This window comes from Homo sapiens, chromosome 6 (assembly GCF_000001405.40).
Source record: "Homo sapiens chromosome 6, GRCh38.p14 Primary Assembly".
In the NCBI taxonomy this organism is placed as follows: domain Eukaryota; kingdom Metazoa; phylum Chordata; class Mammalia; order Primates; family Hominidae; genus Homo; species Homo sapiens.
Genome location: NC_000006.12, coordinates 38,545,227 through 38,570,061, shown reverse-complemented (window position 1 = coordinate 38,570,061; position 24,835 = coordinate 38,545,227). Strand labels below are relative to the sequence as shown.

At 38.4% G+C, this 24,835-nt stretch overlaps 1 protein-coding gene across 13 annotated transcripts in view, besides 1 other annotated feature; it reads left to right on the top strand.

The window, feature by feature from the left end:
• Positions 1-24,835, top strand: part of BTBD9 (BTB domain containing 9) — a 471,479-nt gene that overhangs the window by 69,868 nt on the left and 376,776 nt on the right. For 3 of the 13 annotated variants that reach the window (XM_011514282.4, XM_047418148.1, XM_017010227.3), the window contains one exon: positions 1,480-3,987. The exons of 8 other annotated variants lie outside the window; for them this stretch is intronic. In XM_011514282.4, the coding sequence (XP_011512584.1) occupies positions 1,480-1,489 (10 nt within the window). In that variant the 3' untranslated portion in view covers positions 1,490-3,987. Of the gene's footprint in view, positions 1-1,427; positions 3,988-24,835 lie in introns of those variants that run through there. 2 more of the 13 variants (XM_011514280.4, XM_047418147.1) reach the window with 1 other exon arrangement.
• Positions 17,613-17,813: a silencer, noted in NCBI's record as "peak5797 fragment used in MPRA reporter construct". NCBI's record gives its function as "represses an SCP1 promoter by STARR-seq MPRAs in K562 erythroleukemia cells {active_cell/tissue: K562}" and the evidence as "EXISTENCE:reporter gene assay evidence [ECO:0000049][PMID:32103011]".

Here is a 24,835-nt window from a genome sequence, read left to right as displayed (position 1 = left end):
TTGTTTGTAGAGCTTCGAATTTTCCTGCCCCTTAGTTCTCCATAAGATCATTTTAGAGTATTATTATAGAGTGAACCTAATATTCTTGAATCCTAGCTTGTTTTCATTAAACTGTGTTTAGAAACAAATTCCATATATTAGGAAATTTTTATTTACAAGATCTCTTCACACCTTGAGTTGCTTTTTTTTTTTAGTTGGGAAATTTTCTGTTTATTATTTTCATCTAGAACCCTTTTATTAGGGGGAAAACACAACAACAATAGCAAAAAAATCCCCCAAAACCCCGCCATGTTTTATATTCAGTAAGACCTTTGAGAAATGACTGTTTGTCCTTAAGTTATTCAATTGAATCCAAGCTTCTTTGTTTTGTTTTGTTTAGAGGATAATAACATGTTGAGCTTCTTTTGTGTGAGAAAACAGAACAGGATTGCCCTTTTCCTTTGCATTGTATTTTATAATTTTAGAATATAAATTAGTGTCCTAATAAGCTTATTGCATGAGATGATGTTACTAACATTAATCACCTGTTGTTATTACCACAAATAGCCATTGCCTGTTTTTCATTCTGAAAGGGCAAAAACTATATTTGCCTCTGCTAACAGTTGCTTCCCAAGCAGTTAGGCCCAGGATTAAGTTCAGGTAGCACCTTCTATGTTGATCATCAAACATCTTTTTTCTCATATTTTTCTTCTGAATACTACTTTATTACTTATGGGATTTATTCATTCAGACATTCACGCAAGAAACATTTATTGAACACGTGCTATATTGTAGGCACCTCATTTAGGTGCCAGACATAAAAAGATGAACAAGACACAGTGGCCGCTGTCAAGAATTTCATGATATAGTTTTTGCCCTTCCAGGCAAAATAATGTGTATTCAGGACACTTACCTAAGGTAGACTCTACATTGGACTTGGCCAAATCTAAACCCTTCTCTCAAAGCTCTCCATCATTAGGTTCTTCTGCTTCTATAGCATCATTCTTGGTTCTTACAAAGAATACCTTTTTTTGTCTCACTAATCAAAATTGTCTGTTTACCATCTACCCACCCGTAATTCCTACCTATGTCCCTAAGCTCAGAGAACATACATAAATGACAATCTTCTCTTTCTGTGTTACCTTGTATAACTGTGTAAGGTATCTAGGAGTTACTTGGTTTTAGTTAAAGCTGTCGCTTTTAAAACTTCTTTCTTTAAGATTAAAAGACTCCCTGCGAAGAAGTATAAATTACGTTGTCACAGAAAACAGTAAAAATTCCCAAGAAGTAAAGAAAGTACCCCTCCCCTCCTTTGGAGGCAGGACTTGAGTTAGTGACTTTTGCTTAGAAAAATAATACATTTCATAGATATTTCATTGTTGGGTACATGCTGCATGTGAGGAAATGAATGTTAGTCTATCAGTTTTCCTTTGTGAAATCTCCTTTAGGAGTCTGTTTTGGTGTACTGCAACTCTCCCAACACTTGTTTATGAAACTTAGGAAATCCTGAAGCAAGGAAGGAACAGAATGCAATGCCATCCAGGACCTGAGGGCTTCTAAATATGAGCCAAGAGCCTCCAGCACAAGGAACAGAGACAAAAGTGAGCTGCGGAACTGGGAATGGAACCCAGAAATTAATGAAACTGGTGAGGAAGAGTTTCTAGGACCTTCAATCCAGCTTCTAAAGTGAATAAGAAAATGTGGTCAATGAAATAAAACTTCATTGATTGCTTTTTGGATGACCAAGAAGATGGAGGGACAATTAGATCTTGTAGATAAACAAACAAACTTAGATACAGATTTTTTGTGTGTGAATTACATAGTCATTTTTCTATCCTGCTTACTTTGGCAATGGTGCTCTAAAAATGATATTGTTGAGTAGTTAATAATTCTGTCAGTGGAGAGTTAAATCTTGTACATTCAGATTTCACCCCATACTACTTAACAATGATTGCTCTGACCTTTCATAGTATTTATAGCTTGAATCTCCCAATTAGCCATTAATTATATATCTTGTATACTTTTGAAATCATTTTGCAGTTCCTGGACCTTGCTTTATATTCCTTTGGTGGTAGTGGCTCATCAGGTATCTTGTTGAATCTCTTTAGCTCTCTAAAATCCCTGAATGCAGGTGCCTGGATAATAATCTGTTTTTCTGGAAAATACCCTTTTAACACTGCTATTTTTTTTTGCCAGTGTTAGAAGGAAATAATAGGAAACAAAATTTTATATTTTTTTTCCACAGGAAATATGTTTAAAGAAGACTGTGAGTACAAGTCCCACGGTTAGTAAAATCATCAGAGCTTTCTCAGTCATCATTATAAATGGTAGAAGTTCCCTAGATCAGGGTGCTGTCTGTGGATACAAGGTTAGCTCAAGGGAGAGTAGACCAGAAGTAAAACCAGATTGCTTGTCGGCTGCCAGAAAATCTGGGCAGAGTGCCAGGCCTGGTTCATCTTCTAAAAATTCATCTCCCAGTATGAAAATAGAGGGCTCAATCCCTGCAAGGAACGGTGGTAGCACGAACACTTGGACTTCCTTCAGCCCAAAGCACTTTATTGATGCGAAGAAAGGTGGGGGGAGTGGATTGTGGATTGGAGTGGACTGTTGGCATTGACCTCATTTAAGAGCTGTAATATTTTCTTTAGCGGCCTTACTTATGTTTCAAATTATAATTTCATTAGTTAATAATTCTTCTTCCAAATAATATGGGTCATATATACACATGAATATGTCCTTCATGATAAGAAGCTATAGGTTTAATTTCTAATAGTCATAGAAATTCTGTGCACATTATAAAGCTATTAGAATGTAACAGCTGTTTTAGTTCATCTCATTTTGCAAAAGAAATGTGATGCAGACTAAAATGATCAGTAATTATTTTGAAAGCTAAACCTTCAGTTATAGAAAGAACTAATTTACACATTAGTTACTGATAAAACTACAGTATGCTATGGTTTCAAAGTTAGTGTTATCGCCTGCCTAAGACTATGAAAGAGAAATCTGTGCCAAAAGACGTTTTTCCTTCTTTTAAATCCTGTTTTGCATTGCCCATTGTAATTTTGGAGTTGCAAATCAACAGTAATGAAAAACTGCTTGATATTTTTCTAAGGAAAAAAATTAGAAGGACTGTTAGAGAGAGTAGGATTTAGAAGGACTTTATTTTATGTCTGTTGATCAGTGACTACCATCTGCCTTCCATTTAATGTTGTAGAAGCATGCACGCGTTTCCCAGTTCTGAACAGATGATGTGCATGGTTTGTTGAGATATATGTGTATTCTGGATGTGTGTGTGTATGTATACCTACAGTGCTTAAAATCACACTTGAAGTGTAAAACAGATAATGAGTCTCCATTTTGGTCTCATTTGCATATTCAGCTCTTACACACAAAACAATAGACTACAATGACACTGATTTTCTTTTCTACTTGAGAATCAGCACTAACCAGCTGTCAACGAATATTTCGATTAAACACTTTTCTTTGTTGGGGAACTTTGGGGCACATTCTTTGTATAAACATATTGTTTTCTTTGATTTCAAGGGACTTATTTTCAGTGTGATTCATGGCTGCATCACACCGGTAAGCTGTCTGCACAAAAGTATATTTTTCTCTGTAAACTTCCTTTTTACCATTGATTTCTCTAGGGCAAAAGTATGGTTAAGAAAAAATATTTCAACTCAGGATATTTGCCCGAAATAAAGGTGGAGAATATACCTGCTTTAAGTAAACTGAAGATTTTAAAGTATAGATTCATATACTTGACTTCTTTAAGATTTTTCAAGAAGATTTAGCAGTTCCTCTAATACATTTAAAATATGATTTGACTACAGAAATTTTGTTAATATTTTGACATATCTTTTAGCCTTCTATGTGTAATCATACACAAACATGTTATTTACAAAAATGGTATTATGTAGTATATGCTGTTTTGAAACCTTACACATATATCTTTATATTTATTGTGGTTGTTATTCTATATCAATAAAATCTACTTTCCCCTTAAAATTTTTTTTATCTTTAATTTTTTTTTAGTCAAGTGCAGTAGTGAGAAGTGGACAAAGAGTAGAATAAGGATTTCGATCTGTAACTGACTGTGAACAATCGAGATAACTCACTACTTCAGACCAACCTACTTTATCCTTTTAAACAATAGCAAAGTGTTCTAAATGTATTGTTGCTTGTTGCTTACCTGACCAGTCCCCTATTAAGGGACCTTTAGGATGTTTCCAGTTTTGCAATTACAGAACAATGTAGTCTTTGCCCATTTGTCTGATTATCTCTAAACAAGCAAGGTCAAAGTATTATAATCATCTCAAAGTGTGAAACATTTTACTAAATGCTATCCACAAATATTATACGTTTATTCCTCTCCATGAATGATAGTTTCCATTTTCCCACATTGTTATCAACAATGGGCATTATCATTATTTTGAATCTTTGTTTGAACTGACAAGCAAATCATGGTCTCATTTGTTTTATGCAGATTTTTCATTATTTGTAAAAATTAAACAACTGTGCACTTGTTGTTGATAGATATCACAATTTCATAGAAAAGATGAAAGTCGAGTTAGCCTCAAAGGATAGAGTTTTGATCAGATGGTTTTATAGGGCTTTTCCCAAGAGGTCATCTCATGGGAACAGTGGTTCTCAACTGGGGGTGAATTTGCTCCCTTAAGGGATATTTGGCAATGTCTGGAGACTGTTTTGAGGGGTTGCATACTACTGGTATCTAGTGAGTAGAAACCACAGATGCTGTTAAACATCTTACAATGCACAGGACATCTCCCTACAACAAAGAATTATCCAGCTGCAAATGTCAATAGCGTCAAGGTTGAGAAACTCTGTTTAGGAAAAGGATGCAGTAATGTGATTAGTGAAGGGGGGTTGAATTAGAATATCTTTCATTAAAAGGGTGAAAGGAAATAGCTGTGAAAGACAGTTCAGAAGAAAAACCAGTCAAACTTTATGATTGATTGAATATGGAGAAAAAAAATCAAGAAGAATTTTGAAGTTTAGAACCTAAATGGCTAGGAAATGGAATGACATAGGTAGACAGAAGTTGTGAAGGAATCAGTTTAAGCTAGTTGCAGAATTATTATTTAAGAAAAAAAATGGTGACATTTGCTATTTTATCTGCTTTGTTTTTATATAGTGAGATCTTTTTTATTTTTATTTATTTATTTTTTTTGAGACAGAGTCTTGCTCTGTCGCCCAGGCTGGAGTGCAGCAGTGCAATCTCGGCTCACTGCAAGCTCTGCCTCCCGGGTTCATGCGATTCTCCTGCCTCAGCCTCCCGAGTAGCTGGGATTACAGGTGCCTACCACCACGCCCAGCTAATTTTGTTTTTGTATTTTTAGTAGAGATGGGGTTTCACCATGTTAGCCAGGATGGTCTCAATCTCCAGACCTAATGATTCGCCCACCTTGGCCTCCCAAAGTGCTGGGATTACAGGCGTGAGTCACCGTGCTCGGCCATATAGTGAGATTCTTATGTTATGCTTGGTGCCAGGATTGAGCTGGATTTTAGATTAAAAAATCTCTAACTAGTACCAAACATGTGGTCTCAGTTCCTCTTTCTGAAATGTTCTCTCATCTCCACTCCTGAAATCCCATGTATTCATTTAGCAAGCTGAAATGCCACTTCTTCCAGAGAATTTTTGATCTCCTCAATGAAATAAAAGTATTTTTTCCTCATTTATTCAACAAAAACATACTGAGTGCCTGCTACATGGCAGGAACTGTACTGGGACTAGAATTAACAGTGGGGAGTTTTGAACACACATCCCCCACCCTTAAAGCTTACAGCTTAGTAGGAGAGTCAGATATTAAACACAGTAATGACAAGTAAAGAAAGAAAGCTGTGATAAATGTGGAGAGAGAAAAGCACAAGTGGACAGTAAAGGTATAACACGAATACAGTTTAAACTGGGGAGTCAGGGGAGGTCCTTCAGGGAAGAGATCTTTGAGACCTAAGTGATGATTAAGAGTTAGATAGGCAAGGCCAGGTGTGGTGGCTCACGCCTGTAATCCCAGCACTTTGGGAGGCTGAGGTGGGCGGATCACAAGGTCAGGAGATTGATACCATCCTGGCTAACACGGTGAAACCCCGTCTCTACTAAAAATACAAAAAAGTTAGCCAGGCGTGGTGGCGGGCGCCTGTAGTCCCAGCTACTCGGGAGGCTGAGGAAGGATAATGGCATGGAACCGGGAGGCGGAGCTTGCAGTGAGCCAAGATCGTGCCACTGCACTCCGGCCTGGGCAACAGAGCAGGACTCCGTCTCAAAAAAAAAAAAAAAAAAAAAAAGTTAGATAGGCAGACAAAAGGGGAAAGCGTTTGGAGCAGAGACAGGTAGGGAAATCTTGAGGGAGGAAAGAACTTGGCTTGCTTAAGGAAATGAAAAGATGTCAGTGTGCTGGGAGTGGCAGCGAGGTAGAGGAGGAAAGGTGGGTAATGACCAGGTCGTACAGGTCTGCATGTGTGTGTGGGGCACGTTAAAGAGCTTGTGGTAGTCTATCAAAAATGCAGCTCCTAGGAAGGTATTGAGGGATGTGACATGATCTGACTTTAGTTTTTTAAAGACTTTGCCTCCTTGTGGGGAATGGATTGAGTTGGGCCGAAGTGGAAGAAGGGAAACCAGTTGGGAGACCTCTGTTGTAGCATAGGAGAGGAGTGGTGGTCTTGTGTAAGGATCGTGGCAGTGGAGTCAGAGAGAAACGAGTGGATTTGAGATGTGTTCTTCAGCTTATGTGACTTCCAGGGAGCATTGTTAGATACAGGCTTGAAGATGGAAAAGGAGGTCTGGGCTAGAAATAGAAACTTAAGAGTTGTTGTCTTAGAAGATGATATTTGAAACCATAGGAGCCAATTAGATCCAAAGGAAATAGAATGTAGTAAAGTGTAGAGGAAAAAGAAAAGAGGACCTAGGACTGAGTCTGAAGTGCTCCAAAATTTGCTCAGGTAGAAGAGAAGTTGTAAAATGAAATGGGGAAAGAATAGCCAGCAAGAAAAGGACAGTCAAGAATGTGTGGCTTCAAGAAAGAGGGACAGGTCATCAGTGGCAGATCAAGTAGATGAGGAATGGGAAGTGTCCATCAGCCCTGGCAACACTCAGTGCATGGTTCACCTTGGCAGGAGCAGTTTTACTGATACAGTAGTGGTGGAAGTCAGATTAGAGTGGGTTAAAGAAGGAAATGTATACTTTATAATAAAATTAAACATGCATACACCCATTGAGCCAGCAATCCCCTTGTTGGCAAAATTCATTCCAAGAAAATAGGTATGTAAGCATGTTTATTGTAGCATTGCTTATAGCTTCAAAAAACTGAAAACTACCAAAATGCCCATCAATAAGGAATTGATTATATCTGTATGAATTGACCTAGAGGGATTTTAATAAAAATTGTTAGATGAACAACACATATTAGAGATACTTCTTTTGTCAATAAACAACCTTACGTATGTATATAAATGTTTATTTGGATTTATATGAGAATAGAGAATGGTGTGGAAGGATACACACCAAACTTTAATATTGATTAAGCAAGTAGTAGTAGATGTTTATTTATCTTTTGTTATACTTGGCTATGCGATCATTTTTAAAAAATAAATAGGGAGTTGAAGTTACTTTTTAAAAGTTCTGGGAGATGAGGAAATGAAGAAAAAAAGAATAGATCACTTTTTTTGAGAAACTTCGCCATGAAGGTAAATAAAGGTACCTGGTGGACACTAGAAATGCATGTACTTTTTAAAGACGAGAGGTGCTAAAGCATGTTTAAATACTGATTAAACGGATTCAGGAGGAAGAAACTGAAGAGGGAAGGAGAAAGACAGTCAATGGAATAAGACACATCTCCATTTTGTGTAACAGAAAGAATGTTATATTTTCGTATTGTGATGACTTCTATTTTCCTGTGCTATCTTCAAGACTGCAAAGCATATGTTTTTAAATGTACCCTACAGAATCTGGGTCTGAAGGAGTCCACATCATAATTTGATCTTTGCAGATTTTGGCTTCTTAAGAAAAATACAATTTGTTAATATCTTGTTTTGAAAATGGCATTATCTGCAGGGTATTGGTAATAAGGATAGATGCTTTATAGTACTAGGTGCACTTGCATGCTCTCTCTTTCTCTCTCTCTAATTTCAACTTTTATTTTACATTCGGGGGGCACATATGCAGGTTTGTCACATGGGTATATTGTGTTTCGCTGAGGTTTAGGTTACAAATGGTCCTGTCACCCAGGTAGTGAGCATAGTACCCAATAAGTAGTTTTTCAGCCCTTGCCCCATCCCCCACCGTAGTCCCCAGTGTCTACTGTTCTCATCTTTATTTACATATGTACCCACTGTTTAGCTCCCACTCATGAGTAAGAGAGTAGTTTTCTGTTCCTGTGTTAATTCACTTAGGATGATGGCCTCTAGCTGCATTCATGTTGCTGCAAGGGACATGATTTCATTCTTTTTTATGGCTGTGCATTATTCCATGGTGTATATGTACCATATTTTCTTTATCCAGTCCACTTTTGATAGACACCTAGATTGAGTCTATCTCTTTGCTATTGTGAATAGTGCTGCAATGAACATATGAGTTCATGTATCTTTTTTGTAAAACAATTTATTTTCCTTTGGGTCTATAACAAATAAAGGGATTCCTGGATTGAATGGTAGTTCTAAGTTCTTTGAGAAATCTCCAAACTGCTTTCCACAGTGGCTGAACTAATTTACATTCCCATCAACAGTATATAATCCTTCCCTGTTTTTCCGCAGCCTCTCCAGCATCTGTTATTTTTTAATAATAGCCATTCTGTATTAAAAAGTAAAAAAATAAAAAATAACAGATGCTGGTGAGATTGTGGAGAAAAGGGAACACTTATACACTGCTAGTGGGAGTGTAAATTAGTTCAACCACTGTGGAAAGCAGTGTGGCTATTTCTTTAAAGAACTAGAAACAGAATTACCGTTTGACCCAGCAATCCCATTACTGAGTATATACCCAACGGATTATAAATTGTTTTACCACAAAGACATATGCATGCATATGTACATTGCAGCATTATTTATAAAGCAAAGACATGGAATTAACCTAAATGCCCATCAATGGTAGACTGGATAAAGAAAATGTGGTACATATACACCATGGAATACTATGCAGCCATAAAAATAGAGCGAGATCATGTCCTTTGCAGGAGCATGGATGGAGCCTGAGGCCATTATCTTTAACAAACTAATCCAGTAGCAGAAAACCAAACGCTGTATGTTCTCACTTGTAAGTGGGAGCTAAATAATGAGAACACATGGACACAAAGAGGGGAACAGTAGACACTGGGGTGTACTTGAGCGGGGAGGGTGGAAGGAGGGAGAGGATCAGAAAAATAGCTATTGGGTACTATAATGGGTACCTAGGTGGTGAAATAATCTGTGCATCAAACCCCTGTAACACGGATTTGCCTATATAAATAAACCTGCACATGTATCCCTGAACCTAAATTAAAAGTTAAAAAAAATAAATTTCAAAAAAGGGAAAGCAAAATATTGTGTAGTTTTAAAAATGTTTATATAAAGGATTATATTTAGCAGTAATGTTATGTTTTTATTAATTTGCAAATATTTTGTGTACAAAAAGATTTTGATTTTGCATATATACAAATAAAACATTTTATCGATTTCTGACAAGTCAAAAATAATAGTAATAGCTATTATGATTAATGTGAGATGGTATCGCATTGTGGTTTTGATTTGCATTTCTCTGATGATTAGTGATGTTGAACATTTTTTCATATGTTTTTTGGCTACTTGTAGGTCTTTTGAGGAGTGTCTGTTCATGTCCTTTGCCCACTTTTTAATGGAGCTATTTGTTTTTTGCTTGTTGAATTAAGTTCCGTATAAATTCTAGATATTAGACCTTTGTCAGATGCATAGTTTGCAGATATTTTTTCCCATTCTGTGGGTTGTTTATTCTGTTGATAGTTTCTTTTGCTGTGCAAAACTTTAGTTTAATTAGGTCCTACATGTCAGTTTTTGTTGCTATTGCTTTTGAGGACTTAGTCATAAATTCTTTATCAAGGCTGATGTATAGATAGATGGTATTTCCTATGTTTTCTTTTATGATTTTTATAGTTTGAAGTCTTACATTTAAGTCATTAATCCATCTTGAGTTAATTTTTGTGTATAATGAAGGGGAGAGGTCCAGTTTCATTTTTCTGCATATGACCAGCCAGTTATCCCAGCACTGTTTATTAAATAGGGAATTCTTTCCCCCTCGCTTGTTTTTGTCAACTTTGTTGAAGATCAGATGGTTGTTGGTGTGTGGCTTTATTTCTGGGTTCTCAATTTTGTTCCATTGAGCTACATGTCTGTTTTTGTACTAGTACCGTGCTGTTTTCATTACTGTAACCTTATAGTGTCATTTGAAGTAGGTAATGTGATGCCTCCAGCTTTGTTCTTTTTGCTTAGGATTTTCTTTAGCTATTCAGGCTCTTTTTTGGTTCCATGTGAATTTTAGAACAGTTTTTTCTAATTCTGTGAAAAATGATGTTGATACTTTGATAGGAATAGCATTGAGTCTGTAGATTGCATTGGGCAGTATGGCCATTTTCACGATAGTAATTCTTCCAGTCCGTGAGCATGTAATGTTTTTCCATTCATTTGTGTCATCTCTAATTTCTTTCAGCAGTGTTTTATAGTTGTCCTTGTAGAGATCTTTCACCTCCTTATTTAGACATATTCCTAGTTTTTTTTTTCCCTGTATGTGTGTGACTATTGTAAATGGGATTGCATTCTTGATTTGGCTCTCAACTTGAATGTTATTAGAGTATGGAAATGCCACTGATTTTTGTACATTGATTTTGTATTCTGAAACTATTATGAAAACACCTGTGTGCACACAAACTAGAAAATCGAGAAGAAATGGAACAATTCTTGGAAACAGACAACTTCCTAAGATTGAATAAGGTAGAAATTGAAACCCTGAACAAACCAATATCAAGTTTCGAAATGGAATCAGTTATAGTAAACTTAGCAACCAAAACAAACAAAAAAGACCCAAAAAACAAAAAACCCTGGACCAGATGGATTCACAGCCAAATTCTACCAGCTATCCAGAAAAGGGCTGGTGGTTCCCATTCTACCCATTCTACTGAAATGATTCCAAACGATGGAGGAGGAGAGACTTCTCCCTACCTCATTCTGTGAAGCTAGTATCACCCTGATATCCTGGCAAAGATATGGGAAAAAAGAAAACTACAGGCCAATATCCTTGGTGAACATAGATGTAAAAATCTTCAACAAAATTCTAGCAAACCAAATCCAGCAGCACATCAAAAAGTTAATTCCCCATGATGAAGCAGGCTTTATTCCTGGGATGCAAGGTTGGTTCAACATACGCACATCAATAAATGTGATTTACCACGTGAACAGAATTTAAAACATACGATCATCTTAATAGATGCACAGAAAGCTTTTGGTAAAATCCAACATCTCTTCATGATAAAAAACCTCAAACTAGGCATCAAAAGAACATACCTCAAAATCATAAGAGCCATCTATGACAGACTCATAGCCAGCATCATACTAAATGGGCAAAAGCTGGAAGCATTCTCCTTGAAAACATTAAAAGAAAGGATGTCCACTCTCACCACGCCTATTCAACATAGTACTGAAGGTCCTAGCCAGAGTAGTCAGGCAGGAGAAGGAAATAAAAGGCATCCAGATAGGAAGAGTAGAAGTCAAATTATCTCTTTTCATTGACAGTATGATTCTATACTTGGAAAACCCTAAAGCCTCCACCAAAAGGCTCCTAGACCTGATAGATTTTTTTTTTTTTTAAGAAAGGGTCTCACTGCATCATTCAGGCTGGAATGCAGTGGCAAAATCATTCCCCACTTTACCCTGGAACTCTTGGTCTCAAGTTACCCTCTAACCTCTGGAGTAGCTAGGACTGCAGGCACATACCACCAAACCTGGCTGGTTTTATTTTTTATTTTTTCTAGATATAGGGTCTTACTGTGTTGCTCAGGCTGGTCTCAAACTCCTGGGCTAAAGTAATTGTCCTGCCTTGACCTCCCAGAGTGCTGGGATTACAGGCATGAACCACCAAGAGTTCGTTAAACAACTCTTGGAGGCAGGCCTTATTTATTATCTTCATTTCACACAGCCTCAGAAAGGTTAAGTAATTTCTCTAAGATCTCAAAATCAGAAAAGTGGATTCTAACTTGGCTATGTCCAACTTCACAGTTGGTTGTGTTATACATTGTCACTGAGAAAGAAGCTACTCTCATATCTAAATAACTTTACCCCCCTTATTTGTAAGGCTTAGAAGATATGTGCCTGGTCTGGGACCTCTGTTTTTTTGGGAAGCTTTGTTTATAATATTGGCGTTATCAAGGGATTCTGACAGAGTCCTCATAGTGATATCCTAATACCTTGTTTTTATAAACAGGTAGAAGGTTTACATTGTTGTCATAATGCCTGGAAGAAGGAGGAAAATTATTTATTAGCTAAGATATGGTTTATAACATAGGTAAGGCCCACAATTTTCCAGACACTGAGTATTTCATTTGGTCTTACCCAGGAAATAAGTATTATTGTCCAACTATTGTATTTCACAAATGAGGAAACTGAGGCTTAGAGAGCATATTGAACTTATAATCACACAGCTAGAACATAACCGCTGGGACTGAAGCTGAGGTCTGTCTGACTCTAAAGGTCTTTTTATTATTTATTTATTTATTTATTTTGAGACTGAGTCTTGCTCTTGTCGCCCAGGCTGGAGTGCAATGGCACGATCTTGGCTCACTGCAGCCTCTGCCTCCGGGGTGAAGTGATTCTCCTGCCTCAGCCTCCTGAGTAGCTGGGATTGCAGGCGCCTGCCACCACTGCCAGCTAATTATTGTATTTTTAGTAGAGACGGGGTTTTGCCATGTTGGCCAGACTGTTCTCAAACTCCCAATCTCATGATCTGCCCACCGTGGCCTCCCAAAGTGCTGGGATTACAGATGTGAGGATGTGAGCCACCGTGCCTGGCCCTTTTTTTTTTTTTTTTTTTTTTTTTTTTTTTTTTTTTTTTTGGTGAGATGGAGTCTCGCTCTGTTCCCCAAGCTGGAGTGCAATGGCCCGATCTCGGGTCACTGCAACCACCACCTCCCAGGTTCTAGCGATTCTCTTGCCTCAGCCTCCCAAGTAGCTGGAATTACAGGCGCCACTACATCTGGCTAATTTTTGTATTTTTAGTAGAGACGGGTTTTCACCATGTTGGTCAGGCTGATCTCGAACTCCTGACCTCAGGTGATCCACCCGCCTCGGCCTCCTAAAGTGCTGGGATTACAGGCATGATCCACCGCGCCCGGCCGAAGGTCTTTTTAAACACACAGTGCTGTCTTTTTCATCTCTGTTTATCATCTTGTGGTATTATCTTTTTTTGTGTGTGAGGCTTCAAAGATTAAAAAAAAATGTTTTATTTTGGACTTTGGATTCTGAAGTAATAACTTTTACTCCTGGGTGATCAAATCTCTCTCTCTCTCTCTCTCTCTCTCACACACACACACACACACACACACACACACACACACACACACACTTTATAGGACAAAGATAATATCCATATGCTTGCTATATATCTCTTAATCTTCTAAAAGCATTTGCCATTTGACTTTCCAGACCCCTTAGTAGGTCTGGAATCTGGCAGTTGTCAGATATACATTTGAATGCTTAAATTAATAAATCAAGATTTTAATTTTGCTGTTATAGTTAGTGAATGGTGCCAGATTGAAATCATTTTCATGATCAAATAGTGGGATGCATACTAGTTATCATTTTATTTAGTCTATTTATACTATGATGATAGGCCATGCAGACAGGAAACATTAAAATGTAGAATGTTAGGATGTACCTTGGGATGTGCTTCTAGTTCCCTGAGAAACCTTTCTAGTTCCCAAAGACAGGCATTTCCATGATGACTGTGGCCTTTCGTATATGATGCCCTTGTTAGCTGAATATTCATTACCTCGAGCCTTGCAGTTTTGAAGGTTGCATAGGGAAACAGAAGTAATCATAGTATAAAAATGTTCACTAATGAACTGTCCACGTGTAAAATTAGTTCCCACTCAAACATTCATCCCTGTGAATTCTATTCCTGCCCATCCCATTAGTTATAGTGTTTTACTGATTGTTCGGAAGATGTAAAATCAGTGTACTCAATTGCAAAGTCAGATGGCAGATTTTGCAAAAATACAAGAAATAAAGATTTCATGAAATAGAGAAAAGTGAGGTTGAAAAGCTGCCAGACTGACATACGAAGCCATTGGCAAATAAAATTCTGGCAGCATGAGACCAGTGAATAATTGAGAAAGAGAAAATCCACCAAAATGATGACATGGTAAGCATTTCAAAAGAAGAATCTGACAATTAAAAATTAAAGGAATGTTGGTGATGTCCAGGTATTTTTGGAAGAATATTCTTCACTGTAATTGTGCTGGGGAAGTTAGGAAATGCTAGAAAAACTAAAAGATATCTAACAACTGTTTATCACTACTACTGCTACTACTACTATTTTGGTTAGCACATAGTTGCATTTATTACATACGTTTTGTTAAGTAGAAGATTAAATATATACTTACATTTAATCTCAATTTTTAATGTAATGAAACCCCTTTTCCACATTCACTATGGAATTTTGGTCGTTATTTCAAGTGAATTCACTTTAAATGTCCTTTTTCAGGTAATTGTTGTTCTGGAATAATGAGAACCTCCTGTAATGGGTTATATACTTGTCTTTATGTGTCTGTGTGTCTTCCCTCTCCAGTTTTGCTGGTAACGAACAGCAGCAACAAACACAGGCAAGGAGAGTTAGAGATGGGGTGAGTCATCCTTAGTAAAATTGTCTTTTAACCAGTGAGGCAAAGAAACAGAACCTTGATGAGCAATAATCTATTCTAGAAGAGTAGCTAATCAGCAGATTATACTTTTATCTTGGAGAAAGGACTGCAGGTCACTCATTAAATCAAAAGGCATTACATAAATAAAGATTTCCAGTTTGGGGGTACTGGAGGGGACTGTAGCAATATTGTTTTTGAAGTCTTTGTTTCTCTTTAGTAGCATCACCCATAGCTTTGATGTTACTCACACTCTAAGATGAATACATTTTGGAGCTTCCTAATCCATTTGAAAAGGAAAACGTGTTTGTAACTTTACCAGCCTTAATTTGGCCTACTGGTAGACTTGGCAGGCTCCGCTGCAACAGCAAGAGTGGAGTTTCATATACCCTGCTGGCTGCTTTCACTACAGCCAAGCTTCTGGAAGCCCATTATTTCTGAGGATACCATTCCTTTTTGGATTTTTTTTTTAAGTCTTAGAGTCTGGGGAATACCCCAAGGTTGTGATAGTATCCAAGAATTCAGTGTTTTGGGGATTTTGAAATCTGTGAAAAGAACATATATCACTTGAAATTACAATGCACAGTTGATTTTCTGGTAACTTCCAAACAGTATGCAAGCTCCGTTCTAATAAAATCAGAAGATTATTTTTTTGGGAACTTGAAAAGTAAATGTATACCTTAAAGCCATTTTCTAAATAGAGCTCATTCATTATGACCCACGTTTGCATTCATGCCTCCCTTGAACTTAGGCCAGAATATTTATCTACAATTTAAATAGCAACACGTTAGTTAAGTGCTTGATTTAAAGTGGCTGGCACTTCCATTTATTTTTCTTTTATTGGAAAAGTTCATTCCTCTGAGAGGGGTTGAATTAGTCACTGTATAGTTGAGATAAGTCCCTTGATCTGGGGACAAAACATTCACAGGATTTGTGTGGCTGTCTATAGCATCTGTGTGACAGGCACATCATGAATCTCTTAATAGTTGTGAGATTGCTTTTCACTCAAAAGTATGATGTGTGACTGACTCCTTCTTCTCTATTTTATGGCAAATCATGTAGCTCATATATCATGCTAGCCATAAATCTTAATTTATGTTTGTCTGAGGATTTGACTCTGAGATTTACCTTCTTAGATGCTGAAAATATTCAATACCATATGGTTTCTTTTATTAGTATGATCAAAATTTTCATCAAAATGTTGAAAAGTTGACACTGAGACGGCTAAACTAGTAAATAGTGTGTTTTGTTTAATGTCTTTCATGTGTCCAGTATGAAAAAATATATAGAAATTCATTGAACCCAGAACTTCCTGTTCCCAATGGTTTAGTAATCAGTCTTAGATTTTTTTTTTTTTTAAGGGACAAGGTTTCGCTCTGTCACCCAGACTGGAGTGCAGTGGCATGGTCATAGCTCACTGCAGCCTTGAACTGCTGGGCTCTACTGATCTTCCCACCTCAGCCTCCCAAGTAGCTGGGACTACACATGCCACAACACTCAGCTAGTCAAAGATCTTTTAAGTTCTATCATTTAGCTAGATTATTAACGAGAAGTCTTGCCATTATCTCTTTTCCCAAGGGTGGAAGGATTATTTCTGTTGGCTTTGGCTCTTATGGCAAAGAGTATCCTACATTGTCTAGAATCTTTTAAAAAGACTTTTTGCTCTTGATCTTTTAGAGAGGTCACTCCTCAACTAGTATTAGGGAATATAGTGTAAGGGATAACCAGTTTGTTCTTTTCCAACACTCAAAACATCAGGCTTAAAGATGCTAGAATTAAGTTAAGCTGGCTAAGATGACAGCTTTGTGTTGGATCTGTTTTAGTGACCAGCCTGCCCCCTCCAAATCTAATCAATATCAAGTGAAATTATATTCCCCTCACCACAATCTTGGCATTAATTTGACTTTCAGATTGACCCATCATGGTGTGGTAATCCAGTTTGTCTTCTGCCCCCTTCATTTTCATCATACTTAGGGTCTGATGGCTTTTCTGATACAGTCAGCTGTGTGTATCCACAGATAGAACCAACTGCAGATTGAAAATATTTGGGGAAAAAAAGACAATAAAAATAACAATACAATTTAAAAAACAAATATGAAAAACAATACAGTGCACCAACTATATACATAGCATTTACATTGTGTTAGGTATAAGTAATCTAGAGGTGATTTAAAGTATGCAGGATTTGACTGATGTGGATTGAAGAAAAAAATGTGTACAGAAGGTTGTGTGTAGGTTATACTATACAAATACTGTGCCATTTGATGTAAGGTACTTGAGCATCTGTAGATTTTGATATCCTTGGTGGGGGTTTGGGGGTCCTGGAACCAATCCCCCATGCATACAAAGGGACAAACATATATTAACATTATGCTAACCTAATTAGTCAGAGTCCAGGATATTGATCAGGCTATATTTACCATGCAGCCATACAGCCCTCTTTCTTTTTTTTTTTTTTCTTTTTCTTTTCTTTTCTGGAGTGCAGTGGCATGACCTTGGCTCACTACAACCTCCGCCTCCTGGGTTCAAGCAATTCTCCTACCTCAGCCTCCCGAGTAGCTAGGATGACAGGCTCCAGCCACCACACCCGGCTAATTTTTGTATTTTTGGTAGAGACGAGGTTTCACCATGTTGGCCAGCCTGGTCTCGAACTCTTGACGTCAGGTGATCCTCCCAAAGTGCTGGGATTACAGGCCTGAGCCACTGTGCCCGGCCCATTTTTATTTTTTCATTAATCTTTGAGATTGGGCCAGCCTTGCCATCTTACTCTTCTTCTTGAGAGTATCTTGCGATGAGTTAGTCCTGCCATTACTTCCTCTTTCTGGACTACTTTTATACTTCCTCTTTCCATATAGTCAGTGTAGTAAGTTCAACCAGAACACTTTGTGCAACCCAGGCATTCATTCTGTGTCTCATTCTTGTTCTCTCTTTGCATGTAAGCCTAAGTATGCTGGACACTGCTTCCGATTTCTATACTGTGTTGTTGGCCTGAAGATAGGAAAATCCCAAGATACAGAATTGGACTTAAGATAGAGGCCCTTAATTGCATCTTGATCCTAAGCCAAATGTTCCAGTCCAGTTTTACTGTATTCCTGCTCTGTGGTATTTAGATGCTGAGCCACCTCATAGTATCATACTTTGATTTTCATTCAGCTTGTGATTTCTTATTTTCTGTAAATGTAAATGCATATGGAGAGAATGGTAAATGGCAGAGCAGGAATTCCTGGGTCTTCAGCCACCACACTCTTAAAATCCCTAATAATTTCTACATTCTGGGTGTTTATAAAATCTTCCTGGGTGTCTGTAAAGTCTTCCTTTCTTTATACTGCTGCCTTAAACCCTGCCTTCAACATCTCTATAGCTTGGACCTTGCAGGTCTCTTTACACTTTTCTAATCCGTTCTCCACATTGCTGTGATCCTAAAATGCAGACTAAACCTATTGTTTGCCGGTGTAAAACCTTTGAGTGGCTCCTCCTTGTCTATACCATGAAACCCAAGATCCATAGCACAGAGGCAATATAGTGTATTGGTTCAGGGTGCAGTTCTAGAGTCAGTCTGCCTGGCTTTGAATTTGGCTTTCCTTTATTAGCTGAGTGATTTTTGGCCAAGTTACTTACCCTCTCTGTCTTCAGTCTGCACGTCTATAAAATGGAAATAACAATAGTGGCTTCTTTGTAGGAGAAGGTTTGCTATGATGTTTAAATTGCATAAGAATAATATAAAGGGATTAAAACAATGCCTAGAGTAGGGTAACACTTAGTAAGTGTTAGATCCCGGCCTACTTTGCTAGTCTCATTTCCTGCTGAAACCCTAAGCTCCAACCAAACCAAACTGCTTCTAGATTCCAAGTGTACACTGTGCTAGTTCATTGTTCTGTATCTTTAAACATGGTATGCCCTTTGCCCGGAGTGAACATCGCCCTGCCTGATGCCTGAGCATTGTCTTCACTCTGAAGATTCCCAGACCAGTCTGAATAACCTGAGTATTGTAGGTATTGAAGATTCAGTGAAGTACAGATTGGACAACATGTCTGTCTTCATAGAAATTATGTTCTACTGGGGAGAGAGAGACAACAAAATAAATAAAGCAGGGAAGAGGATGTTTATGGGGTGGGTTTGCAATTTCAAATAGGCAAGGCCTCATTATAAAGGTGACATCTGAGTAAAGACCTGAAGATTAATGAACAAGCCAATGTGGGCAAAGAGTGTTCCAGGCTGAGGGAACAGCAACTGGCTCTGGTATGCTCCTGGAATAGTAAGGAGGGCACTAGGGCTGAAGCTGAAGAGAAAGTAGTATAAGACGGTGTCAGAAAAGAAATGGGGCCAGGTTGCAGAGCGCTTGGTTGAGTGAGATTGACAGCCACTGGAGGGTATTGAGCCAAGGAATCCTGTGATTTGATTGTTCTAACTACTAGGTAGACCATAGGTTGTATAAGGGCAGACACATTCTAACAAGAATAATTTAGACAAAAGATAGTGGTGGCTTGGATGAGGGTAGAAGCAGTGGAGGTAGGGATTGCTTTAGATTCTGCCATATTTTAAAGGTAGAGCCAGTGGCATTAGCTAATAGATTTGATATGGGGTAAGAAAAAAAAGAGGCTGGGCACGGTGGCTCATGCCTATAATCCCAGCACTTTGGGAGGCTGAGGTGGGCAGATCATGAGGTCAGGAGATTGAGACCATCCTGGCTAACACAGTGAAACACCATCTCTACTAAAAATACAAAAAATTAGCCGGGTGTGGTGGCATGTGCCTGTAGTCCCAGCTACTTGGGAGGCTGAGGCAGGAGAATCACTTGAACCCGGGAGGCATAGGTTGCAGTGAGCCGAGATCACACCACTGCACTCCAGCCTGGGCGACAGAGCGAGGCAACATCTCAAAAAAAAAAAAGAAAAAAGAAAAAGAAAAAGAAATCAAGGATGATATCAAGAGTTTTGGCCTGAACAACTGAAAGGATAGAACTATGTTAGACTGAGATAAGGACAGTGAAGAATGTGAAGAATAGGTTTTGGAATACCTCAGTTTGAACATTTTAGATCTGAGATGCCTTTTAGATGTCTAGGTAGAGATGTTGAAGAGGAAGTTGAATATATGTCTAACGTCCAAGGGAGAAGTCTGCGCTGGATACATAAATTTAGAAGTTATTAAGCCATGAGACTGGATGAGGTACAGAGGAAGATCCGGTACACAAGACTGAGAAAGAGCTGCCTGTGAGGCAGGGACAAAGTGGTGGCTCAGCGAGGATAGTTTCTTGAAAGCCAAGCAGGGAAGTGTTTTCACAGAGGATGGAGTGATCAACTGTGTCGGGTGCCAAGAGGTCATGTAAGATTAAAACTGATGATTGATGACTGGATTTGGCAAAATGGAGATCCTGAATGCCCTTGAGAAGCAGTTTTAGAGGAGTGGTGGGAGGAAAGCTGAATAGGAGTAGGTTCAAAATGGAGAGAGGGACTGGGAACAGCATGTATAGACAACTATTTTGAGAAACTTACTTGTGAAAGAAAGGAAAGCAGTAGGGTGGTTCCCTACTCTGAAGGCTTAGCTGCACAGTCACTTCTGGTGTCAACTGTCTGGGAAAAGTTATTTTTGCAGAAACCTTGTTATTACCACTAAGATTTTTTTTTTTCCCTCTCCTGACAGCTGTCATTTTGGATTGCTTTTCTCCTTTCGTTTGACAGTTCCTAAGTGAGGACCTACTGAAATCTTACTTTCTTCTTGATTCTCAAATAGTAAGCAAAAATACTGAGCCAGCCTGTTTGGGGACAAACATACTGCCCTCCAAAGCAGGTTACCAGGGCTCTCAGTTTAGAGACATCACATTTCCTAAGACTTGGGGCAATGCCATGGGAACAAAAGATAGCTAATATATCTTGAGTGCTTCTGTGCTAGCACAGTGTTGAGTGTTTTATATCCATTATCTATTTAACCATAATAGCTGGTTGGGTGATAGAGATTCATAAAGAGAACCTTACAGGTAAATAACTGGGATTTAGCATCATGTTTTATCTTACCAGCGTTCATAGCTCATTGGAATACTGAGGGATGTTTTATGAATGTCTCTGAAGTGCAAGGCATTTTTATGAAACTGAGCATTAAAAGGAGTCACATTGTAGGTTACTTTTAAAAAATATTGTGAACTTCTGGTTAAGAAGATAGCCTTCACTTATTTATACTGAGAGGCTAGATTTGGGGAAAAACAGCCCAATCTAATGAAAATCCTCTAAAAGATCTTAAATCCTTAGAATTTACAAGTCACCTTTACCCATGGGTTCTCTTGTCCCTTTCTGCAGTTATTGATTTTTTCCTGGTGCCTTTTCTATAATTTCTGCCTGGCTGTATCCATTTCCTTATGGATTTATTGCTCATCTTTTTACATTGCTCTCTTTAGAGGAATACTGTGTCAAACTTTTGTCCCTTTTATCAGGTTACAACAGTTTAAAAGTAGATTGTGCTCTTGGCCTAAACATATTGACAATGACCCTTAACAATATTTGAATTATAGTGTGGTTTTCAGGTAAACATCTTAGTACACTGTTTCTTTTTATGTATGGACCTCACTTCTTTACCTATTTACATATCTCTAGGGAAAGATTAATGCGTGAGTTGGGAAAAAAAATAGATATTTTGCTTTGAAATTGCTCTATTCTTTCTTCCAAGATGCCATCTAGGAATGCACGATTTTGAACTTTGTAGGCACATTTTCATTTTAAAGGAAAAGGAAAAATGACTTGAAAAAATGTGTTGGCAAAACCTGAAAAGAAAGCTCTACAAAAAAAGAACTCTAGCCCGAAAAGAGAACAGGAAGAAATGATTACTGATGATTTCAATTTTCAGTAAATTACAAAGCATACGTAATAGACTTCGAAGAGAGATGATTCCAATGGCATACTTCATGCCGCCTTCACAGATAAGTGTGTAAATGAAAGGGAAATGAATTGTTTCAGCCTGGAAAATCTGTACCATTTTGGTGGAGTGAAAATGAGTGAAATTGAAGTAATCCTATCACTTCTTACTGAAAATATAACATATAAATGTTTTTGATGTGTTTCTAGAGAATAGTATACTTATAGATTTGCTGCAAAGAAACATAATTTTGAATCAGAGGTAACTAAATGAGTATAAAAAATAAGGGTATAATAGTGTTTTATGTAATTTACACTGCAAAATTTGAAAATTTGAAGTATTGCTGTGTGGGTGGGAATGTTTTTCTTTTTAACTCCTTAGAACCTAGCAAAATTTTCACAATGGAAAAGAAACTTCATTCATGTATTCATTTAACACATAATTACTGAAAGTCTACAGTGTGCCAGATAATATTAATAAGACAGAAAAAGTCCCTGCCACTAAGGAGCTTATATTTTAGTAGTGAAGATGGATAATAAATAAGGAATCATGTAGCTAATTCTACCATTTCACTTATCATATGATATGTGCTGTGAAGTTCAGGATTCTCTGAGAGGTCCTCCCTGAGGAAATGATGTTTAAGCTGAGACCTGAGGAAAGACAGGAGGTAACCAGGTGGAGGAGAAGGAGAGGTGGTGCAGGATGAAGGAACAGCATGAACGGATGAAGGAACAGCACGTACAGAGACCCTGAGATGAGAAGGAACTTGATGGGTTCAAAGAACTGAGAAAAGCAAAAGGTTGGACAATGTGGATGGAGCAAGTAAACAAGGATAGAGAAGGTGAAATTGTTGTGGATTTTGAACTTTATTATGAGAACAAGGAGAAGCTATTAAAGGATTTGTTTTAGCAGGTTTATATTTATTTTATCTTATTTTTTTGAGACAGGGTCTTGCTCTGTCACCCAGATTGGAGTGCAGCATCATGATCATGGCTCACTGCAGCCTCGACCTCCCAGGCTTAAGCGATCCTCCCACCTCAGCCTCCTGAGTAGCTGGAACTACTGGCATGTGCCACCACGCCCAGCTAATTATTTGTATTTTTTGTAGAGACAAGGTTTTGCCATATTGCTCAGTGAGAGATGTGTCACTCTTCCTTTCACTTGAGCACTTAGAGGACATTGTCACATTATTAATTGGCCTACTTTCAATATTGTCATGTTTCAGGGAATAGGGAGGCCCAAGGAGAGAGAGGGACATGGGGGAACAGCCAGTTGATGGAGCAATCAGATAAATGGAGCAACATTTATCCATTAAGTTCACCATTTTATATGGATGAGGCTCGTGACGCCCCAGATACAATTACAATGGTAACATCAAAGAACACTGATAACAGATCACCATAGGCTGATTGCAGTGGCTCATGCCTGTAATCCCAACACTTGGGAGGCTGAGGTGGGTGGATCGCCTGAGGTCGGGAGTTCGAGACCAGTCTGACCAACATGATGAAACCCCATCTCTACTAAAAATACAAGATTAGCTGGGCATGGTGGTGGGCACCTGTAATCCCAGCTATCTGGGAGGCTGAGGCAGGAGAATCACTTGAACCTGGGAGGTGGAGGTTGCGGTGAGCCAAGATCATGTCACTGCACTCCAGCCTGGCTAACAGAGCGAGACTCCGTCTCAAAACAAAATAAAACAAACAAACAAAACAGTATCGTAACAGATATAATAATAATGAAAAGGTTTGAAATATTGCAAGAGTTACTGAAACGTGACAGAGTTATGAAGCAAGCATACACTGTTGGAAATATAGTGCTAATATACTTGCTCAAAATGGAGTTGCTGCAGACCTTCAATTTTTGAAAAACACAGTATCTGCAGTGTCATAAATCAAAGACAAATAGAATGAAGTATATTTGCATTAAAAAAATCACCATGTATATCAATTAGGGATACATTTTAGTACAAATCACAGGAAATTTTGGCTTAAATAATTGAGGTGTTTATTCTTATTAGATGATAGGTTGGTATAGGAATTCAACAGTACCTTCAGAAGCCAGGTTATTTCTGTCTTTCCACTCTGATATTCTTGGTATGTTGGCATTTGTCCTCATTCTTGTCCTTGTAGATCCATCTCCAGCCCTTTGTCAATATTCCAGGCAGGAAGAACAAGAAAGTCTAACAGGAAGGGGCAAGGCCTATATCAGGAAAGAGAAAACTCATCGGATAGAACCTTTGTGTCATCCTACATCCCTTTTTCTCATGTACCACATCTAATCCATCAGCAAATCCTAGGGGCCCTGCCTTCAGAATATATAGAGAATTGGAACCACTTCTTACCATATCCACTAGCTACTACCTGATGCAAGCCATCACCTTCTCTGTTAGATTATTGCAGTGGCTTGATACCTGGTCTGCCTGCTGCCATTCTCACATTCCTATAGTCTGTTCTCAAACCCCTGGAGCAGTGTGTGTGTGTGTGTGTGTGTGTGTGTGTGTGTGTGTGTGTGTGTATGTGTGTGTGTGTGTGTTTTAAATATTAAAGCATTAGTCACATATAAAATTCATTCTTTTTTTTTTTTTTTTTTTTGAGACGGAGTCTCACTCTGTCACCCAGGCTGGAGTGCAGTGGCTCGATCTCGGCTCACTGCAAGCTCTGCCTCCTGGGTTCACGTCATTCTCCTGCCTCAGCCTCCCGAGTAGCTGGGACTACAGGTGCCCGCCACCACGCCCAGCTAATTTTTTGTATTTTTAGTAGAGACGGGGTTTCACCATGTTAGCCAGGATGGTCTCGATCTCCTGACCTCGTGATTTGCCCACCTCCGCCTCCCAAAGTGCTGGGATTACAGGCATGAGCCATTGCGCCCAGCCTAAAATTCATTCTTTTAAAGTGTGCAATTCAGTGTTTCTTAGTATATTCCCAAAGTTCTGCAGCCATCGCCGCTATCTAAACCCAGAGATTGTTCCTTTTTAAACATAAGTCAAAGCCTCCTTAAAACTGTCCAGTCATGGCCGGACATGGTGGCTCACGCCTGTAATCACCAGAGGTCAAGAGATCAAGACCAGCCTGGCCAACAGTGTGAAACCTGTCTCTATTGAAAATACAAAATTTACTTGGTTGTGGTGGCACATGCCTGTAATC